We start from the raw sequence: 20,072 nt of genomic DNA, 5'->3' as shown, positions 1-20,072 counted from the left end.
CACTGGGGCCGATTTCGGCTCTCGGGCTGGGTGTCCGCCTCCTTCCCCTGGCCCAGAGTTGCTGGCCGCCCGCCAGCGCGCTTCGTCCCAATGTGCCGCGCGGGATCCGGGTTTCTTGGGTGTATTCATGTCCACCACGTTACCGTTCTCTCTGCAAATCCTTCCTCTTTTTCTCCTCTGGCCTTCGCGTTTTCATCTCTCCCGCCGTCAGTGCCTCGGAGACTGATTAGCCTGTGGAGGCCGACGTTGGGTTTTTTTTATAGTTTTGCGTTGTTGAAAATTGCGCTTCCAAGTGACACCTAATAAATAAGTACATTTTGGTTTTGCTGTCATGTCACCAAGGTTCCTAATGACACATTATGGCTTTTTTTTTAAGTTCCAAAAAAGGCTGGCCGCGGTGGCTTACGCCTTTGAGAGGCCGAGGGGGAGGATCGCTTGAGCGTAAGAGTTGGAGACCAGCCTGGGCAACATAGTGAGGTGCTGTCTCTACAAAAAATACAAAGATTAGCTGGGCGTGATGGCAGCGCACGGGAGTAGATGGGACTCCCGAGTAGTCCCAGCTACACAGGAGGCTGGGCAAAAGGATGGCTTGTGCCCTGGAAGTTGAGGCTGCAGTGAGCCGTGATTGCGCCAGTGCACTCCAGTCTGGGAGACCGAGGGAGACTCTTGTCTCAAACACAAAGAAAAACCCCGAATTTCTGCGCAGAGGGTTAAGGGGAAGCCTGGTAAAGAGATCAGTGCAAGTTCATCCTGGCTAACACGGTGAAACCCTGTCTCTACTAAAAATACACACACACACACACACACACACACACACACACACACACACACACACGCCGGGCGTGGTGGCGGGCCCCTGTAGTCTCAGCTACTCAGGAGGCTGAGGCAGGAGAATGGCGTGGACCCGGGAGGCAGAGCTTGCATTGAGCCCAGATCGCGCCACCGCACTCCAGCCTGGGCGACAGAGCGAGACTCCGTCCCACCTCCCTTTCCCCCCCAAAAAAATCAGTGCAAGTTCAAGTACAAAGGTAGGAACATACGTGGGGTGTCAGGAAGATGGGGTAATGTTAGAAATGTGGATGAAGCTAGATTGTAGACAATCTTCAATGTCCGGCCAAAAGACTTTCAACTTTGTGGTACAGACATTGGGAAGCCTGTTGGGGGTAGGGTGAGAGGTGTTAGCAACGTAGGAGGATGTATAATTTTTTCTCCCATGAGATCTGCAGTGTGTAGGATGGAGACAGGTAAGTTTCCATTACCTTCATTTAATGGAAACTTCATTTCAAAGCTTTAATTCATCCTCAAACCTGCTTAAGACGAGTGTGGGGCAGTAAGAATTCCCTAAGTCATGATGCTCACATACCCCCAATGGCCCACTCCCTAAAAATACTCAGTGGAAGGAAGAAAGGACAGTGTTATCATCATTAAAAGAGATGGAAAACCAAACAAGGATGCTGTAGTAACAATGGCTCATATTTATTTTTCAGGGTTGTAAAGAGCAAATGGAGTACAGTGTGTAGCATAAGCTACACACTGTACTCTTACAACCCTGAAAAATAAGTATCTTCATTTTACAGATGAAGTGCCTAAGTCCTAGAGAAGTGAAAATAGTTGCCCAAGGTCACACAGTTGAGTGGTAGAGCTAGAATTGGAGCCCATAGGGTTTTACCCAAGGGCCAGGGTCTTAAAACACTATGAACCTTCGTGAGGTTACAAATAACTTATCTATAACTTAAGGAAACAGACATCATTTTTGGAAAATTGAGGTTATGTTGCCTAATTAACACTGGAGTTACCATTTCAGGAGACCTGTGGTTACTAGCTTATTGGCTGGAGACTTTTTGAACAGGCCTGAAACTTTATAGTCCCATTATCACTGACACTGTGAGTCCCAAGACACTGTGAGTCCCAACCCCTCTCCCTCCTTTTAAAAAAAAAATTGCTGTATTAATAAGACTCTAAGCTCCCACAATTCTGATGGAGTTCTTCCCTTGGTCCTCCTGGGTTCAAGTTACATGGCTACTTCTATCCTTTCAGTCTTTCAACCGATTTGGCAGATGGAATTCTGTAATCTCCTTCACTCCTTGCTTGAATTCAAACAATTTGTTTTACTGCCTAATTGAATTTGGCATTCCTTCCGCATATTTTGTGTGGTTATGGGCCACAATCTTAAAATCATTCTAATGACATGACTGACTTTTCACTACCAAACTGCTGCTTGCTTGCTTGCTTGCTTGCCATAATTTCTTTGGGTCAGGCACTCTGCCAGTGTGCATACTCAGGAAGGACTTGAAATTGGTTTACACATTCCTTTTGCCTTTTTATTATTACAGTAGGAAGTTTTGAGTTAAAAAATACACTATATAGGCTGGGTATGGTGGCTCACGCCTGTAATCCCAGCGTTTTGGGAGGCCGAGGCAGGTGGATCACGTGAGGTCAGGAGTTTGAGACCAACCTGGCCAACATAGGGAAACTCTGTCTCTGCTAAAACTATAAAAATTAGCTGGGCGTGGTGGCACATGCCTGTAATCTCAGTCACTTGGGAGGCTGAGGCACAAGAATTGCTTGAACCTGGTGGGGCAGAGGTTGCAGTGAGCCGAGATCGTGCCACTGCACTCCAGCCTGGGTGACAGAACGAGACTCCGTCTCAAAACAAACAAACAAACAAACAAAACCGCTACATAGTCATAAATGTACATTTTATTTGGCTTCCTATTTTACTACCTTTCTTAAAAAAAAAAAAAGTCTTGTCAACGATTCTCATTTGCAAGTTGAATCCTGTAAATAAGGCTTGGTGAGACTGGCTCACCACTGCTCCAGTGATCCCTACAGAATTGTTTCCAGACCTATCTGTGTGGAATTGTTTCCATAGAGATGGTTAAAACCAAGGACTGCCAGCTGCTTTTGGGACTTTTTTTTCTCTTTGTCTTCCTTTTCATCATTCCAGTGCTTTCCTATTAGCATAGAGATCAGAGGGACCCTGGAGAGGATCTTGTTAGAGACCATAATGAGAGAAAAGATGAAAAAGGAGAAGGAAATAGAAGTACCCATGTGACCCAGAGGAAAACAAGACAACAAACACGTGATCATGTATTACACCATCAGGATGAAGAGGAGAGGAAAATTCCGTGCAGAGCCTGAGAGAAAAAAAGAAATTGAAAGAGATTACACTCTTCGGGGGGAGGGAAGGCACATTAACGAAAAATTGGTTAAGATATTTGTTCACATATCCCCAGTGGCATTGTGAAGTACCATAAAAACTGGATTATCATAATCTTTTGCCTATGTAAAAAGCAAATAATCTAAAAAATGTAACAAAATCCACTAAATTTCATCTAATTAAGGTAGTTAATGCCTTTTAAACACTAAATTTGTGTAAGACTGTGAAATGCTTATTCTTTGGTTTATATCCTATGTATCTTGTCTTTAGAAAGCACTAATCTCCTTTATTATGGTTCAACATTGTTTCTCAAGACAAGACTGAATTACACAGTTTATATTCTTGATACTTTTTTGTTTCTCTAAGTCACCTAAGTGTTCTTTGTGAATCTGGCAACCAAAAGGCCTGTTCAATCTTAATAATTATACTAAGTAAACAAATGAAAACTCAAAAGGAAGAAAGCACCTAAACATATTCTTTCTCTAATTTTTGAAAATAATTAAAATAATTGAACATTCTTTTTGTTCCAGTGAATTGCTGTGAAGGCTAGGGAAAGCAGCTTAAAAAGATAGCTACTTAAATAATTTAAATGAAATTATTGTACTGCTTTTAGTGTGTCATAAGCACATTAATAACTTTGAAAATACAGCATTGATAATACAGTAATAGACCATTTCCCCCAACGTGATTTTTTTTTTTTTTTTTTTTTTTGAGGTGGAGTCTTGCTTTGTCGCCCAGGCTGGAGTGCAGTGGCATGATCTCTGTTCCCTGCAACCTCTGGCTCCTGGGTTCAAGCGATTCTCCTGCCTCAGCCTCCTGAGTGGGATTACAGGCATGCATGACCACGCCCAGCTAATTTTTGTATTTTTAGTAGAGACGGGGTTTCACCATGTTGATCAGGCTGGTCTTGAACTCCTGACCTCATGATCCACCTGCCTCAGCCTTCCAAAATGCTGGGATTACAGGCGTGAGCCACAGCGCCCAGCCCCACCCAGATTTTAAGCTTCTTGGTGGTAGATAAAAATATAGATCTCATTATTCATATACCTATGTTTTTAAGTCTGCAAAAAATAACGATGGTCACACTGGGGGCAGGGACACTTTAAGTCATTCATTTTCACTGCAGTCTTGCAAAGTTACTGTTTCATGGACCAAGAAATGAAAAAGCCAGTAGATAAAGTAGTGTTTCAAAGTTTACCAAAAAAGTAAATGGCAAAACTTAGACTTGACTTCATAATCAGGGAGTCCCAGTTCTGACACCAGCTACCAGTGAATTGATTCTGAACCAGTTAACTTTTCTGAACCCCAGTTTTTTTTTTATTGTTGTTGTTGTTGTTTTGTAGTGGAGTCTCGCTCTGTCGCCAGACTGGAGTGCAGTGGCGCGATCTCAGCTCACTGCAACCCTTGACTCCCTGGTTCAAGCAATTCTCTTGCCTCAGCCTCCCGAGTAGCTGGAATTACAGGCATGTGCCACCACACCCAGCTAATTTTTGTGTTTTTGGTAGAGATGGGGTTTCACCATGTTGGCCAGGATGGTCTCAATCTCCTGGTCTCATGATCCACTGGCCTCGGCCTCCCAAAGTGCTGAGATTACAGGCGTGAGCCACTGTGCATGGCCACCTCAGTTTCTTAATCTCTAAAATGGTTTGTTAGGTTATTATATAGGGGGTGGAGATTAGTAATTGAAATAATGTTAATTCTAGTTCCATGCTGTTTTATTTATTTGTGTTTGTCCTAGCATTGTTAATGAATCTGGTTCATTCCTGCTAAACTCATTTAATAGCAGTGAATTTAATAGAATTTTTAAAGTAAGTACAGTATCCTAAGAGCTACATTGGGAGCCAGGACATTATTCCAGTGAAATCTGTAACTCATATGAACTATTCTGTGGGCAGAATAAATAATATTTCCGATGTAATGTGCTGCTGATTTTCCAATATAGGCAGATGCAGCTGTTATTAATAAATGGAAATTGATTTGAGAGCATTACTGAATTCCTAGTAGGTCAGTATATGTTTCCATCCATCCATAAAAAATACAAGTACAGCTTGGCACAGTGGCTCATGCCTGTAATCCCAGCACTCTAGTAGGCCGAAGCTGGCGGATCACTTGAGATCAGGAGTTCAAGATCAGCCTGGGCAACATGGTGAGACCACGTCTCTACTAAAAATACAAAAATAATTAACCGGGCATGATACTGCATGCCTGTAATCCCAGCTACTCAGGAGGCGGAGGTTGCAATGAGCCGAAATTGCGCCACTGTGCTCCAACCTCGGCAACAGAGTAAGACTCCATCTCAAAAAACAAAAACAAAACAAAACAGAAAAATCAAGTACATTCTATAATGTTGGATGAGCTAAAAAAAAAATGCACGTACATAAAGTGAACCTGTCCCTGACTTTCAAGAGCATACAGATACATTCCATTACATAGATAAATTACATTAAACTGTAGCAAGTGACAAAATAGGGTAAGCACAGAGTGTTTGGGGAGCACAGAATCTGGCCATTCACACAGTCTAGGGCTTCAGAGAAAGCTTTCTGAAGGAGACAACTCATGAGTTAAGTGTTGGAGGATAAGTAAAATTTAGTGGGGCAATGAAAAATAGGAAAAGCATTTACAGTTGAGGACGCAGTAAGATCCAAGGCATGGATGTACAAAATAACGGCAGAAGTGGAAACTCTAAGCAGGTGAAACATTGTAAAATAAGGAAGTAGGTAGGAACCAGATCTTGGAGAAGTTTGTGTGCTACCCTATGGAGCTTGGCTTTTAAGATTGATGATCAATGTAGTGCTTTTTGGGTTTTTTTGTATTGTTTTTGAGATGCAGTCTCACTGTGTTTCCCAGGCTTGAGGGCAGTGGCGTGATCTCAGCTCATTGCAATCTTTGCCTCCCAGGTTCAGGTGATTCTCCTGCCTTAGCCTCCTGAGTAGCTGGGACTACAGGCATACACCACCACGCCTGGCTAATTTTTGTATTTTTAGGTAGACACGGGGTTTCACCATGTTGGCCAGGCTGGTCTCAAACTCCTCACCTCAAGTGATCCACCTCTCTTGGCCACACAAAGTGCTGGGATTACAGGCATGAGCCGCCATTCCCGGCCAATGTAGTGGGTTTTTGTTTTGTTTTGTTGTTTTCCCTGAGACGGAGTCTTGTTTTGTCACCCAGTCTGGAGTGCAGTGGCACAGTCTCAGCTCACTGCAACTTCCGCCTCCCGGGTTCAAGCAATTCTCCTGCCTCAGCCTCCCGAGTCGCTGGGATTACAGGTGCCTGCCACCGCACCTGGCTACTTTTTGTATTTTCAGTAGAAACAGGGTTTCACCATGTTGGCCAGGCTGGTCTTGAACTCCTGACCTCGTGATCTGCCTGTCTCGGCCTCCCAAAGTTCTGGGATTACAGGTGTGAGCAACTGCACCTAGCCCAGATGTAGTGTTTTAATTAGATAGTTCTGATTAAAGTGTGGAGAGTTGGCTGGGCATGATGGCTCACGCCTGTAATCCCAGCACTTTGGGAGGCCAAGGCATGTGGATCATTTGAGGTCAGGAGTTCAAGACCAGCCTGGCCAACATGGTGAGACCCTGTCTGTACTAAAAATACAAAAATTAGCCGGGCAATAGTGGCACATGCCTGTAATCTCAGCTACTTGGGAGGCTGAGGCAGGAGAATCGTTTGAGCCTGTGAGGCAGAGGTTGTGGTGAGCTGAGATTGTGCCACTGCACTCCAGTCTGGGCGAGTGACACCCTGTCTCTAAATAAATAAATAAATAAATAAATAAATAAAGTGTGGAGGGTAGATATTGGGAGGGTAAGAAGAGAGAAGACTAGGAGAAGGACCAGTAGAGATGATGAATACTTAAACTAGAGCAATGGTATTAGGGATAGATACAGGAGGCTCTCTTTAAGAAATATTTGGCTGGGCACAGTGGCTCACACCTGTAATCTCAGCACTTTGGGAGGCCAAGGTGGGCAGATCATGAGGTCAAGAGATCGAGACCATCCTGGCCAACATGGTGAAACCTCATCTCTACAAAAAATACAAAAATTAGCTGGGCATGGTGGCGCGCACCTGTAGTCCCAGCTACTTGAGAGGCTGAGGCAGGAGAATCGCTTGAACCCAGGAGGCAGAGGTTGCAGTGAGCCCAGATCGTGCCACTGCACTCCAGCCTGGCAACAGAGCGAGGCATGGTGGCGCACACCTGTGGTCCCAGCTCTATCTCAAAAAAAAAAAAGAAAATTAGGAGCTATTTATCAGCAGGGTTTAGTGCTTGAGTAGAAAGGCTGTGCATGGGTGAGTGAAAAGAAGTCAAGGATGAATTATTTTTGGCTTAGGGTTGGATGCTGAGAATTTTAACTGACATAGGAAATACAGGAATATCGGGTGTGTTGATTTTGAGATGCCATGTACTGTCCGAGTGAATGTGTCTAGTAGGAAATTAATCTGGATAGGAATGTAGATTTGGCATTCATTGACATATATTTTGCTTTTATACTTCAAAATAAGTTTTTTGGGATGGCCTCAGGCTAAGTAAATTTGCTGTGGAATCTGTTGTAAAAACTAGAATGAGAATTTATTATTTACAGTGAAGAATATAACTATCAAACAAATGGAATGCAAATTATCCCAGTGTTTTTGTGGGGGATACTTCTGAATATTCTACATAAAAGGAAGTATACTCTATTAGTTATTATTGCTGTGTAACAAATTGCTCCAAAACTTAACAGCTTAAAACAACAAACTTTTATTATTTCATAATTTCTGTGGATCAGAAATCTTGGGGCAGCTTAGCTGGATGCTTCTAGCCCAGGATCTCTTTTTCTTCTTTTTTGAGATGGAATCTCACTCTGTCCCTCAGGCTGGAGTGCAGTGGTGTGCTCAGCTCACTGCAACCTCTGCCTCATGGGTTCAAGCTGTTCTCCAGCCTCAGCCTCCTGAGTAGCTGGGATTACAGGTATGCTCCACGAAGCCTGGCTAATTTTTGTATTTTTAGTAGAGACGGGTTTTCCCAATGTTGGCCCACCTGGTCTTGAACCCCTGACTTCATGTGATCCACCCACTTTGGCCTCCCAAAGTGCTGGGATTACAGGCGTGAGCCACCATGCCCAGCCTAGGGTCTCTTATAAGGGTATAATTAAAATGTCAGCTGGAGCTTCAGTTATCTCAAGGGTCAACTAGGGTAGGATCTGCTTAAAAGCTCACTCCCATGGCTATTGGCAGGCCTCAGATCATTAAAAAAAATAAAATTTTAGATTTTTGAATAGTTGTAGATTTATAGAAAAGTTGCAAAGATATTACATAGAATTCCTATATATGGCTCACTCAGTTTCCTCTGTTAACATCTTATATTTGGCTGGCACAGTGGCTCACACCTGTAATCCCAGCACTTTGGGAGGCCAAAGAAGGAGGATTGCTTGAGACCAGGAGTTTGAGACCAGACTGAGCAACATAGTGAGATCTCATTTCTGCTAACAAATTTTTTTTTTAAGTTAGCCAGATGTGGTGGTGTGTGCCTGTAGTCCCAGTTAATGGAGAGGCTCACTTGAGCCTCTCAAGGTTGCAGTGAGCTATGATTGTACCGCTGCACTCCAGCCTGGATAACAGAGTGAGGCCCTGTCTCAAAAACAAAAAACAAAACAAAACAAATCTTACATTGATGGTAGCATCCATGCTACATTTGTCACAAGTTATGAAATTACATTGGTCCATTACTTTTTTTTTTTTTTTGAGACAGGGTCTCGCTGTGTCACCCAGGCTGGAGTGCAGTGGTACAATCATGGCTTATTGCAGCCTCGATCTCCTAGGCTCAAGCAATCCTCCTGCCTTAGCCTCCCAACTAGCTGGGACTACAGGTGTGTGCCACCATGCCTGTTTTTTTTTTTTTTAATTTTTTGTCGAGATGAGATCTCTCTATGTTGCCTAGCCTGGTCTTGAATTCCTGGGCTCCAGTGATCCTTCTACCTCGGCCTCCCAAAGTGCTAGGATTACAGTTGTGAGCCACCGTGCCTAGCTCTGGTCCATTACTATTAATTAAACTCCAAATTTTATGTACGGCTCAGTAGTTTTCCCCTAATGTCCTTTTTCTGTTCCAGGATCCCATCCAGGATACCACATTACATTAGTCATCATGTCTCCTTAGCATCTGCTGGTCAGGTATTTTGTGGAATATCCTTCAACTGGGTTTTTTTCTGATGTTTTTCTCAGGATTAGACAGGGGTTATGGGTTCTTGGGAGGAAAACCACAGAGGTAAAGTGCCATCCTCTTCACATGGTAATAACATGACTCTTTACCTTGATCACCTGGCTGAGGTAGTGTTTGCTAGGTTTCTCCACTGTAAAGTTACTCTTTACTGTCTTTCCATGCTCTGTTCTTTGGAAGCAAGTTACTGAGAGCAGCCCATACTCAGGGTCCTGGGGAAGTTAAGCTCCATCTCCTGGAAAGGAGATTAGGTAGTTAGCTAGATAAGCTATTTGGAATTCTGTAAGGAAGTTTGTCTCTTCTCCTCCATTTATTTATGTAGTCTTTTATTTATGTAAGTATGGGTTATGGATATTAATTTTATCTTTGGGTTATAATCCAATACCGTGTTGCTTCTTTTGTTACTCAAATTGTTCTTGCTTCAGCCATTGGGAGCTCTTCCAGGTTGACTCCTGTATTCCTTTTTATTTATTTTTTTGAGTACTGGTTTACTTTGTAGTACTAGAAGAGATTCCAGCCTCACCTGGTCTTTTCCCTGCACTTATGCTAGAATCAGTCATGTCTCCAGGAAGCTCCAGGTCTTTTTACTACTAGAGAATGTTGTTTAATTTCCACATTTTTTTGAATTTCCCAAATTTCCTTTCCTATCTGTTATGTAATTTCATTCTATTGTGGTTGAAGGACATGCTTTTTATTATTTCAGTCCTTTACATTTATTGAGACTTCTTTAATGGGCTAACAAATGGCCTACTCTGGAGAATGTTTCATGTGCTCTTGAGGAGAATGTGTTGTCTGCTGTTGTTGTGGAGTGTTCTGTAGGCGTCTGTTGGGTCTAGTTGGTTTATAGTGTTACTCAAGTCTTCTGTTTCCTTGATGATCTTCTGTCTAGCTGTTTCATCCACTGTTGAAAGTAGGCATTGAAATCTCCAGCTACAGTCAGTTCTCCATACCTGTAGGTCCTGTATCTGTGAACTCAATCAACCATTGATCAAAAATATTAAAAGAAGAAAGAAAGAAAATAAAAAGAGAAAAGAAAAGAAAAAAACCCTAAAAATATTAAAAGGGGTCGGGGCTAGGGGTGGTGGCTCATGCCTGTAATCCCAGCACTTTGGGAGGCCGAGGTGGGTGGATCACCTGAGGTCAGGAGTTCCAGACCAGTCTGGCCAATGTGGTGAAACTCCATCTCTGCTAAAAGTACAAAAGTTAGCTGGGCGTGGTGGTGCGCACCTGTAGTCCCAGCTACTTGGGAGGCTGAGGCAGGAGAATTGCTCAAACATGGGAGGCAGAGGTTGCTTGTAGTGAGCTGAGATCGTGCCATTGCACTCCAGCCTGGGCAACAGAGCGAGACTCTGTCTCAAAAAAAAAAAAAAGGGGGTTGAGCACAATGGCTCATGCCTATAATCCTAGCAGTTTGGGAGGCCTAGGTGGGCAGATTGCTTGAGGCCCAGGAGGTTCAGACCAGCCTGGGCAACATAGTGAAACCCCATCTCCATTAAAAAAAAATTAAAATAAAAAAATTAAAAGAAAGAGAGAAATACAACAATAAAAATTACAAATAAAAAAGCAATATATTGTTACAAGTTTTGACATAGCATTTACATCATATTAGGTATTATAAGAGTCTAGAGATGATTTAAGTATATGGGAGGATGTGCATAGGTTATATGCAAATACACACCATTTTATATAATGGACTTGAGCATCTTTGGATTTTGATATCCACAGGGACTCCTGGAACCAGTGCCTTGTGGATACCAAGGGATCACTGTATTGTTGTTGAATTGCCTGTTTCTCCTTTTAATTCTATCAGTTTTTGCATCATGTATTTTGGGGCTCTGTTGTTAGGTGTGTATATGTTTATAATTGTCTTATCTTCCTGATGGATTCTTCCATTTATTGTTATAAAATGTCCTTCTTTGTTTCTACTAACAACTTTTGTCTTAAAGTCAATTTTGTCTGATATTAGTATAGCTGCTCCAGCTCTCTTTTGGTTACTTTTTTCATGGCATATCTTTTTTCCACTCTTTTATTTTCACCTATTTGTGTCTTTGAATCTAAAGTTTGTCTCTTAGGCGGGCGAGTGGCTCACGCGTGTAATCCCAGCACTTTGGGAGGCCGAGACGGGCAGATCACCTGAGGTCGGTAGTTTGAGACCAGCCTGACCAACATGGAGAAACCTCTTCTCTACTAAAAATACAAAATTAGCCGGGCGTGATGGCACATGCCTGTAATCCCAGCTACTTGAGAGGCTGAGGCAGGAGAATCGCTTGAACCTGGGAGGCGGAGGTTGCCGTGAGCCGAGATTGCACCATTGCACTCCAGCCTGGGCAACAAGAGCGAAACTCCATCTCAAAAAAAAAATAAATAAATAAAAATAAATAAATAAATAAAAAATAAAAATTAAAAAGTTTGTCTCTTATAGAAAGCATTTAGTCAGTTTTTTGTTTTGTTTTATCTTTTTCTTTGTTTTTGAGATGGAGTCTTTGTCTGTCGCCCTGGCCGGAGTGCAGTGTTGTGATCCCAGCTCACTGCAACCTCCGCCTCCCAGGTTCAAGTGATTCTCCTGCCTCAGCCTCCTGAGTAGCTGGGCTTACTGGCACACACCACCACACCTGGCTAATTTTTGTATTTTTAGTAGATGCCACCACACCTGGCTAATTTTTGTATTTTTAGTAGAGACGGGGTTTCACCATGTTGGCCAGGCTGATCTTGAACTTTTGGCCTCAAGCAATCCACCTGTCTTGGCCTCCCAAAGTGCTGGGATTACAGGCCTGAGTCACTATGCCCAGCAAGTTAGATTACTTTTTGAAGTCCATTCTACCGATCTTTGCCCTTTGTTTGGAGAGTTTAAGCACTTAAATGTAATTACTGATAAGGTAGAGTTCATGACTGCTATTTTGATATTTGTTTTCTACATGTCTCATGTCTTTGTTGTTCCTTTTACTCCTGCATTACTGCCTTCTTTTATGGTAACTTGATATTTTCATCCTTTTTTTTTTTCACTCTCCATCAGTGGAGTCCCAACTAGATATTTTCTTGTGTTCCATTGCTATTTCTCCTTCTCTCTTTCTTTCTTTTTCCTTTCTTTCTTTCTTTCTTTCTTTCTTTCTTTCTTTCTTTCTTTCTTTCTTTCTTTCTCTCTCTTTCTTTCTTTCTTTCCTTCTCTCTCCCTCTCTCTTTCTTTCTTTCTCTCTTTCTTTCCTAACTTCCTTCCTTCTTGCCTGCCTGCCTTTCTTCTTTCCTCTTTCTTTCTTCTTCTTTGAGACAAAGTCTCACTCTGTTGCTGAGGCTGGAGTACAGTGGTGTGATCATACCTCACTGCAGCTGTGAACTTCTGGACTCAAGCTGTTCTCTTGCCTCATCCTCCCAAAGTGCTGGGATTATAGACGTGAGCCACTGCACCCAACTCACTTCATTTTCTATATATTTTGAGTCATTTTCTAATGGTTGCCTGGAGAATCATACTTAACATTTAAGTTTATAACAATCTAGTTTAGATTAACAGAAACTTAATTTTAATAGTATAAAAAAACTGCACTTATATAGCTCCATTCCCACCTCACCTGTTTGTGACTTTCTTGCCATTCAAATATATCTTTTTACATTTTATGGGCATCAATATAGATTTATGACTATTGCTTTATGCAGTTGTCTTTTTTTTTTTTTTAAAAGAGACAGGATCTCTGTTACCAAGGCTACAGTGCAGTGGCATGATCATATCTCACTGCAGCCTCCAACTCCTGAGCTCAAGGGAACCTCCAGCCTCAGCCTTTCATGCCACCATCCCTGGCTTTTTTTTTTTTTTTTTTTTTTTTTAATAGAGGCAGGGTCTTGCTGTGTTACCCAGACTGGTTTTGAACTCCTGGCCTCAAGCAGTTCTCTCACCTTCCTCCCAAAGGGCTGGGATTATGGGCACTAGCCACCTTGTCTGGTCTACTGGTGCTGTTTATTTATTTATTTATTTAGAGACAGAGTCTCACACTGTTGCCCAGGCTGGAGTGCAGTGGCTTGATCTCGGCTCACTGCAAACTCCGCCTCCCAGGTTCTCACCATTCTCCTGGCTCAGCCTCCCAAGTAGCTGGGACTACAAGTGCCTGCCACCACGCCTGGCTAATTTTTTGTATTTTCAGTAGAGACGGGGTTTCCCTGTGTTATCCAGGATGGTCTCGATCTCCTGACCTCGTGATCTGCCCACCTTGGCCACCCAAAGTGCTGGGATTACAGGCGTGAGCCACCGTGCCCGGCCTTACTTTATTTTTTTATTGTGGTAAAAATCACATAACATTATATTTACCCTCTTAACCATTTTGAAGTTAAGCTCAATAGTAATAAGTATATTCATATCATTGTGCAACAAATCTCTACATTTTTTTTGTTTGTTTGTTTTTTATGGGACAGTGTCTTATTCTGTCACTGCCCAGGCTGGAGTGCAGTGGTGTGATCTCGGCTCACTGCAACCCCTGCCTCCTGGGCTCAACCGATTCTCGTGCCTCAACCTCTTGAGTAGCTGGGATTACAGGCACATGACCATGCCCACCTAATTTTTGTAATTTTTTTTGGTAGAGACAGGGTTTCACCATGTTGCCCAGGCTCGTCTCAAACTCCTGACCTCAGGGGATGCCCTCCTTGGCCTCCCAAAGTGCTGGGATTTCAGGTGTGAGCCACCACACCTGGCATTTTCTGTTCTTTTGATAGTGGCCATCCTGAAAGGTGTGAGATGATGTCTCATTGTGGTTTGGATTTGCATTTCCCTAATGATTAGTGATTTTGAGTACCCATTCATGTGCTTATTGGCCATTTGTATGTTTGTTGCTCTTTGTTTTTTTATGTTGATTTGAGTTACTGTCTAGTGTCCTTTCATCTTAGCCTGAAGGACTCCCACTAATACTTCCTCCAGAAAAGGAATACTAGCAACAAATTCTAGCAACAAGTTTTTGTTTATCTGGAAGTATCTTAATTTTACCTTTGCTTTGAGTGATAGTTTTGCTAGACATAGAATTCTTGGTTGACAGTTGTTCTTTTGGTCTATATTCTTGCTTTGAGTATATCATTTTACTGCCTTCTGGCATCCATAGTTTCTACTGATAAACCAGCTGTTAATCTTATTGAAGGTCCATTTTACATGATGAGTTATGTCTCTCTTGCTGGTTTCAAGATTCTGTTGTTTTCTCTTTTTTTTGAGATGGAGTCTTACTCTGTAGCTCAAGCTGGAGTGCAGTGGCATGATCTCAGCTCACTGCAACCTCCATCTCCGGGTCTCAAGCGATTCCTGTGCCTCAGCCTCCCGAGTTGCTGGGACTACATTCGCACGCCACTATGCCTGGCTAATTTTTTGTATTTTAGTAGAGACAGGGTTTCACTGTGTTGCCCAGGGTGGTCTCGAACTCCTGAGCTCAGGCAATCTGCCCTCCTCAGCCTCCCAAAGTGCTGGGATTACAGGCATGAGCCACTGTACCCCACCAATTCAGTCATTTTCTTTCTGCAGTTAGATTATTGTGTGTCTAGGTGTTTGTCTCTTTGAGTTAATTCTATAATACTTGGAGTTTGCTGTGTTTCTTTGCTGCATAGATTAATGTTTTTCATCAAATATGATAAGTTTTTGACCATTTATTTCTTCGAGTAATTTCTCTGCCACTTTCTCTTTTCTGTTTCTGGGACTCTCATTATGCATATAGTGGTATACTTGATGATGTCCCAGAGATCTCTGAGGCTCTTATAATTTTTCTTCATTCCTTTTTCTGTTTCTCAAACTGAATAATCTCAATTAACCTATTTTCAAGTTCACTGGCCTTTTCTTTTGCTTGCTTAAACCTGCTGTTGGACCTCTCTAATTAATTTTTCATTTCCATTGTTATACTTTTCAATCTCTACAATTTCTACTTGGTTCTCTTTTAAAAAATAATTTCTTTATTAATATTCTTTATTTGATGAGACATGCTTCTCATACTTTGCTTTAGTTTTTTAGACTTGGTTTCCTTTTGTTTTTGGAACATATTTAACTACAGCTGATTTAATGTTCTTGTCTAGTAAGCCCGACATTGGGACTCCCTCAGGGACAGTTTTTATTAACTACTCTTTATTCTTTGTATGGTATACTTTCTTGTTTCTATATACACCTCTTTTTTGTTGTTGAAATCTGGAAATTTTAGATAATATACTGTGGTACCTCTGGAAATCAGATTCTCCCCTTCACCATTGTTTGTTATTGTGAGTTCTTTAGTTACTTTTCTTTACTTTCTCTCAAGTCTGTATTCTTTGTGGTGTGTGGCCATTGAAGACACTGGTATGTTAGCTTAGCATCAGCTAATTATTAGACAGAGATTTTCTTACGTTCCTGGAGTCAATATGTCTCTCAGTCTTTGCTGATGGACTCAGTTGTACATGCTGGGGCACACCCTTGACACTCAGCCAGACAGGTAGTAACTCTGCCTTACCTTTCACTTTCTGCTTGCACAAAACCCCTAGGTCTCAGTCAGAGGTGAGAGCTTAGGGTTTCTTCAGGTTTTCTGCATGCACACAGTCCTAGGATATATGCAGAGCCCTATGTATGTATATTGCCTTCTAGATTCTCAAGACTATGTCAGAGCTTTTTTTTTCTTGTCTTTTTTTTTTTTTGGAGACAGACTCTCACCAGGCTGGAGGGCAGTGGTGCGATCTTGGCTCACTGTAACCTCCACCTCCCAGGTTCAAGCGATTCTCCTGCCTCAGCCTCCTGAGTAGCTGGGATAACAGGCACACACCACCATGCTCAGCTGATTTTTGTATTTTTAGTAGAGACAGGGTTTCACCATGTTGGCCAGGCTGGTCTTGAACTCCTGACCTCAAGTCAACCACCCTTCTAGGCCTCCCAGAGTGCTGGGATTACAGGCACAAGCCACCATGCCTGGTCATCAGAGCTTTTCAAAACCCTTTCTGGACATCTCATTCCCTTGCTATTCCTTATCAACTTTTGATTAGCCTATCATTTGCCTTAGCTATTATCCACTGACTCAGACAGCCATGGTGCTATTAAACAGTTGCTGTTTGTTTTTGACAAACAACCCTTGAGGAAAGGCTGTTTGTGTTGGGTGAGCTTTGACTCAGGTCAATAAAGACAAGCCACAGCCGGGCACGGTGGCTCACACCTGTGATCCCAGCACTTTGGGAGGCCGAGGTGGGCAGATCACCTGAGGTCAGGAGTTCGAGACCAGCCTGACCAACATGGCGAAACCCCGTCTCAACTAAAAATACAAAACCTAGCTGGGCATGGTGGTGGGTGCCTGTAATCCCAACTACTTGGGAGGCTGAGGCAGAAAAATCGCTTGAACCCAGGAGGTAGAGGTTGCAGTGAGCCAAGATTGTACCATTGCACTCCATCCTGGGCAACAGAGTGAGACTCTGTCTCAAATAAATAAATAAATAAAATTAAATTAAAAATAATACAAAAATCAGCCTGGTGTGGTGTTGTGCTCCTGTAATCCCAGCTACTTAGGAGTCTGAGGAAGGAGAATCGCTTGAACCTGGGAGGCGGAAGTTGCAGTGAGCCAAGATTGCGCCACTGCACTCCAGCCTGGGTGACAGAGTGAGATTCTGTCTCAAAAAGAAAAAAAAAAAGACAAACCTTGTTAGTGGGGGTCTTCCAGGGAATTACCAGACAAGTCAAATGACAATTCTCTATGAATGCAGCTTTGAAGAGACTTCAACCACATCCTGTCCCTTCTAGTAGCTATCAGGTGATTGCAGGATGGTGGTTCTCAAAGCTATCATGTAGCTGGGGAGAGAGTATCAACTAGGGCAAGAGTGATAGGTAATATCTTTTCGTAAAGAATATGTGGACCAAGTTTTCCCCATTAATTTCAAGATAGAGCAAAACTCCACCAGTGCTTATAAACAGATTCTTAAGTCTTTAACTGTGAAACTGAAAATTCTAAATTTAGGCTAGGTGTGGTGGTTCATGCCTGTAATCCCAGCACTTTGGGAGGCTGAGGTGGGCGGATCACCTGAGGTAAGGACTTTGAGACCAGCTTGGCCAACATAGTGAAACCCCATCTCTACTAAAAATACAAAAATTAGCTGGGCACAGTGGTGCACGCCTGTAGTCCCAGCTACTCGGGAGGCTGAGGCAGGAGAATCACTTGAACCTGGGAGGCAGAGGTTGCAGTGAGCCAAGATTGTGCCACTGCATTCCAGCCTGGGTGAGAGGGTGAGACTTTGTCTCCATAAATAAATAAATAAATAAGTAAAAATAAAAATAAAAATTAGAAGTTTAAAATATAAACCTCCAGTTCAATTGGATTGTCAAGTACAGCTTCCTTAACAGAGCAGCAGAAAGAACCTAAACAATTTTTGGCATATGGAAAAGGGTTTTTTTGTTGTTGTTGTTGTCTTTTTCTGGCATATGGTAAAGGTTTTACCACTGCAAAGTACTGAACTATGTTTTCTTATTTAGAAAGCATCTTAATATCAATTTATAATCTATTTTCTGAAGTCCCTTCCAGGCCCTTGAGCTTTTGAGGAGCAAGAATGTGGATCTTAACACCAAAGTGTTTTCATAAAATTTGTTTGGTAAATGGTAAATCATGATGATAATATGAGAATCCTAAATTTTAGCAGAAAAGTGAAAAAATTCCCAAACATCAGGTGTTTGAACATAAATCTGGTTGAGGAATTCAGAACTAGCCTATGAACATTTTAACAAAGGCGGTGTTTGGAGCTTCTGTGACATCCGGGAAGTATGCATAAAAGTAAACACAAAGTAGTTGAACACTACATATGTCGTATTTGAATAGATCTATATTAGTAGCTAGATGAAACTAATTTAGAGGTTAGTTTTCTTCAGGCAACAAAACAAAAAATAGACAAATGGGATTACATAACTAAAAAGCTTCTGTACAGCAAAGGAAACAACAGAATGAAGAGACAAAGTATGGAATGGGAGAAAATATTTGCAAATTATACATCTGATAAGGGATTAATATTCAAAAAATATAAGAAACTCGGCCCGGCACGTTGGCTCAAGCCTGTAATCCTAGCACTTTGGCAGGCCAAAGCAGGCAGATTGCTTGAGCCCAGGAGTTTGAGACCAGCTTGGGCAACATGGCGAGAACCCCTCTCTACAATAAATACAAAAGTCAGTCAGGCGTGGTGGTGCATGCTTGTAGTCCAGCTACTCAGGAGGCTGAGGTGGGAGAATCACCTGAGCCTGGGGAGGTCGAGGCTGCAGTGAACTGTGATTGATCGCACCACCACCACTGCACTCCAGCCTGGGTGACAGAGTGAGACCTTGCCTAAAAAAGAAAAAAGGCTGGGCCCGGTGGCTCACGCCTGTAATCTCAACACTTTGGGAGTCCGAGGTGGGCGGATCTCAAGGTCAGGAGATCGAGACCATCCTGGCTAACATGGTGAAACCCCGTCTCTACTAAAAATACAAAAAAATTAGCCAGGCCATGGTGGCGGGCGCCTGTAGTACCAGCTACTCCGGAGGCTGAGGCAGGAGAATGGCGTGAACCCGGGAGGCGGAGCTTGCAGTGAGCTGAAATCGCACCACTGCACTCCAGTCTGGGAGACAGAGCAAGACTCTGTCTCAAAAAAAAAAAAAAAAAAAAAAGGAAAGAAACTCAATAACAAAAAGAAAGAAAATCAATAACAAAAAGCCCCCAAATAACCCAGTAACCCTATTCTATTAAAAAATGGACAAAAGGCAAAGTATCCAAATAGACATTTCTCTAAAGAAGATATACAAATGGTCAATAGCTATATTATAAAATGCTCAGTATCACTAATCATCAAGGAAATGCAAATCAAACCACAATGAGATATCACTTAACTCCTGTTGAATGACTATTATAAAAAAAAACACAAGATAACAAGTGTTGGTGAGGACGTGGAGAAGAGGGAACCCTTACACACTGTTGGCTGGAATGTAAATTAGTATAGCCATTACAGAAAACAGAATGGAGATGCCTCAAAAAATTGAAAATAGAACTAACCATGTAATTCAGCAATTCCACTACTGGGTGTAAAACACAGTACGTTGAAGAAATATCTGCGTTCTTGTGTTTATTGCAGCAATATTCACAATAGCCAAGATGTGGAATCAACCTAACTGTTCCTCAATGAATGGATAAAGAAAATGTGGTATACAGATGGCCCCTGACTTATGATACTTTGACTTACAATTTTTTGACTTTATGGTGGTGGGAAAACAATATGCATTCAGCAGAAACAGTACTTTGAATTTTGAATTTTGATCTGTTCCCAGGCTACTGATGTGTGGTACAATACTTTCCCACAATGCTGGACAGTGGCAGCCAGCTGCACTCCCAGCCAGCCACACGATTATGGGGGTAAACAGCCAGTATTTGCCATCTTCCTAAAAAACACTATGCCTGCTAAACCATCAACAAATGTTGGCACCCTAGTGCTTTCTATCAGTTATTCTTTTTTTTTTTTTTTTTTTTTGAGGCAGGGTCTCGCTCTGCCACCCAGGTGGGAGTGCAGTGGCATGATCTCGGCTCACTGCTATCTCCGCTTCCCGGGTTCAAGCGCTCCTCCTGCCTCAGCTTCCCGAGTAGCTGGGACTACAGGCATGCGCCACCATGCCCAGCTAATTTTTTCTTTTTTTTTTGACACAGTGTCTCACTCTGTCACCCAGGCTGGAGTGCAGTGGCGCGATCTCCGCTCACTGCAAGCCCCGCCTCCCAGGTTCATGCCATTCTCCTGCCTCAGCCTCCCAAGTAG

The 20,072-nt window shown here is 42.5% G+C and overlaps 1 protein-coding gene across 6 annotated transcripts in view, besides 4 other annotated features; it reads left to right on the top strand.

Moving 5' to 3' along the window:
- The window catches only part of PBLD (phenazine biosynthesis like protein domain containing), a 50,269-nt gene that overhangs the window by 1,384 nt on the left and 28,813 nt on the right, over positions 1-20,072 (top strand). The window lies entirely within an intron of this gene.
- Positions 2-311: an enhancer, noted in NCBI's record as "active region_3461". NCBI's record gives its function as "activates an Ori minimal core promoter by ATAC-STARR-seq in GM12878 lymphoblastoid cells {active_cell/tissue: GM12878}" and the evidence as "EXISTENCE:reporter gene assay evidence [ECO:0000049][PMID:35858748]".
- Positions 955-1,124: an enhancer, noted in NCBI's record as "experimental_16557 CRE fragment used in MPRA reporter constructs". NCBI's record gives its function as "activates a minimal promoter by MPRAs in K562 erythroleukemia cells, with activity observed for both the introgressed and non-introgressed 10:70090263 variant alleles {active_cell/tissue: K562}" and the evidence as "EXISTENCE:reporter gene assay evidence [ECO:0000049][PMID:34662402]".
- Positions 16,824-16,923: an enhancer, noted in NCBI's record as "active region_3460". NCBI's record gives its function as "activates an Ori minimal core promoter by ATAC-STARR-seq in GM12878 lymphoblastoid cells {active_cell/tissue: GM12878}" and the evidence as "EXISTENCE:reporter gene assay evidence [ECO:0000049][PMID:35858748]".
- Positions 16,947-17,147: a silencer, noted in NCBI's record as "peak991 fragment used in MPRA reporter construct". NCBI's record gives its function as "represses an SCP1 promoter by STARR-seq MPRAs in K562 erythroleukemia cells {active_cell/tissue: K562}" and the evidence as "EXISTENCE:reporter gene assay evidence [ECO:0000049][PMID:32103011]".

Source organism: Homo sapiens, chromosome 10, assembly GCF_000001405.40.
Source record: "Homo sapiens chromosome 10, GRCh38.p14 Primary Assembly".
Taxonomy (NCBI): Eukaryota; Metazoa; Chordata; class Mammalia; order Primates; family Hominidae; genus Homo; species Homo sapiens.
This window is presented reverse-complemented; position numbering and strand designations above follow the sequence as displayed.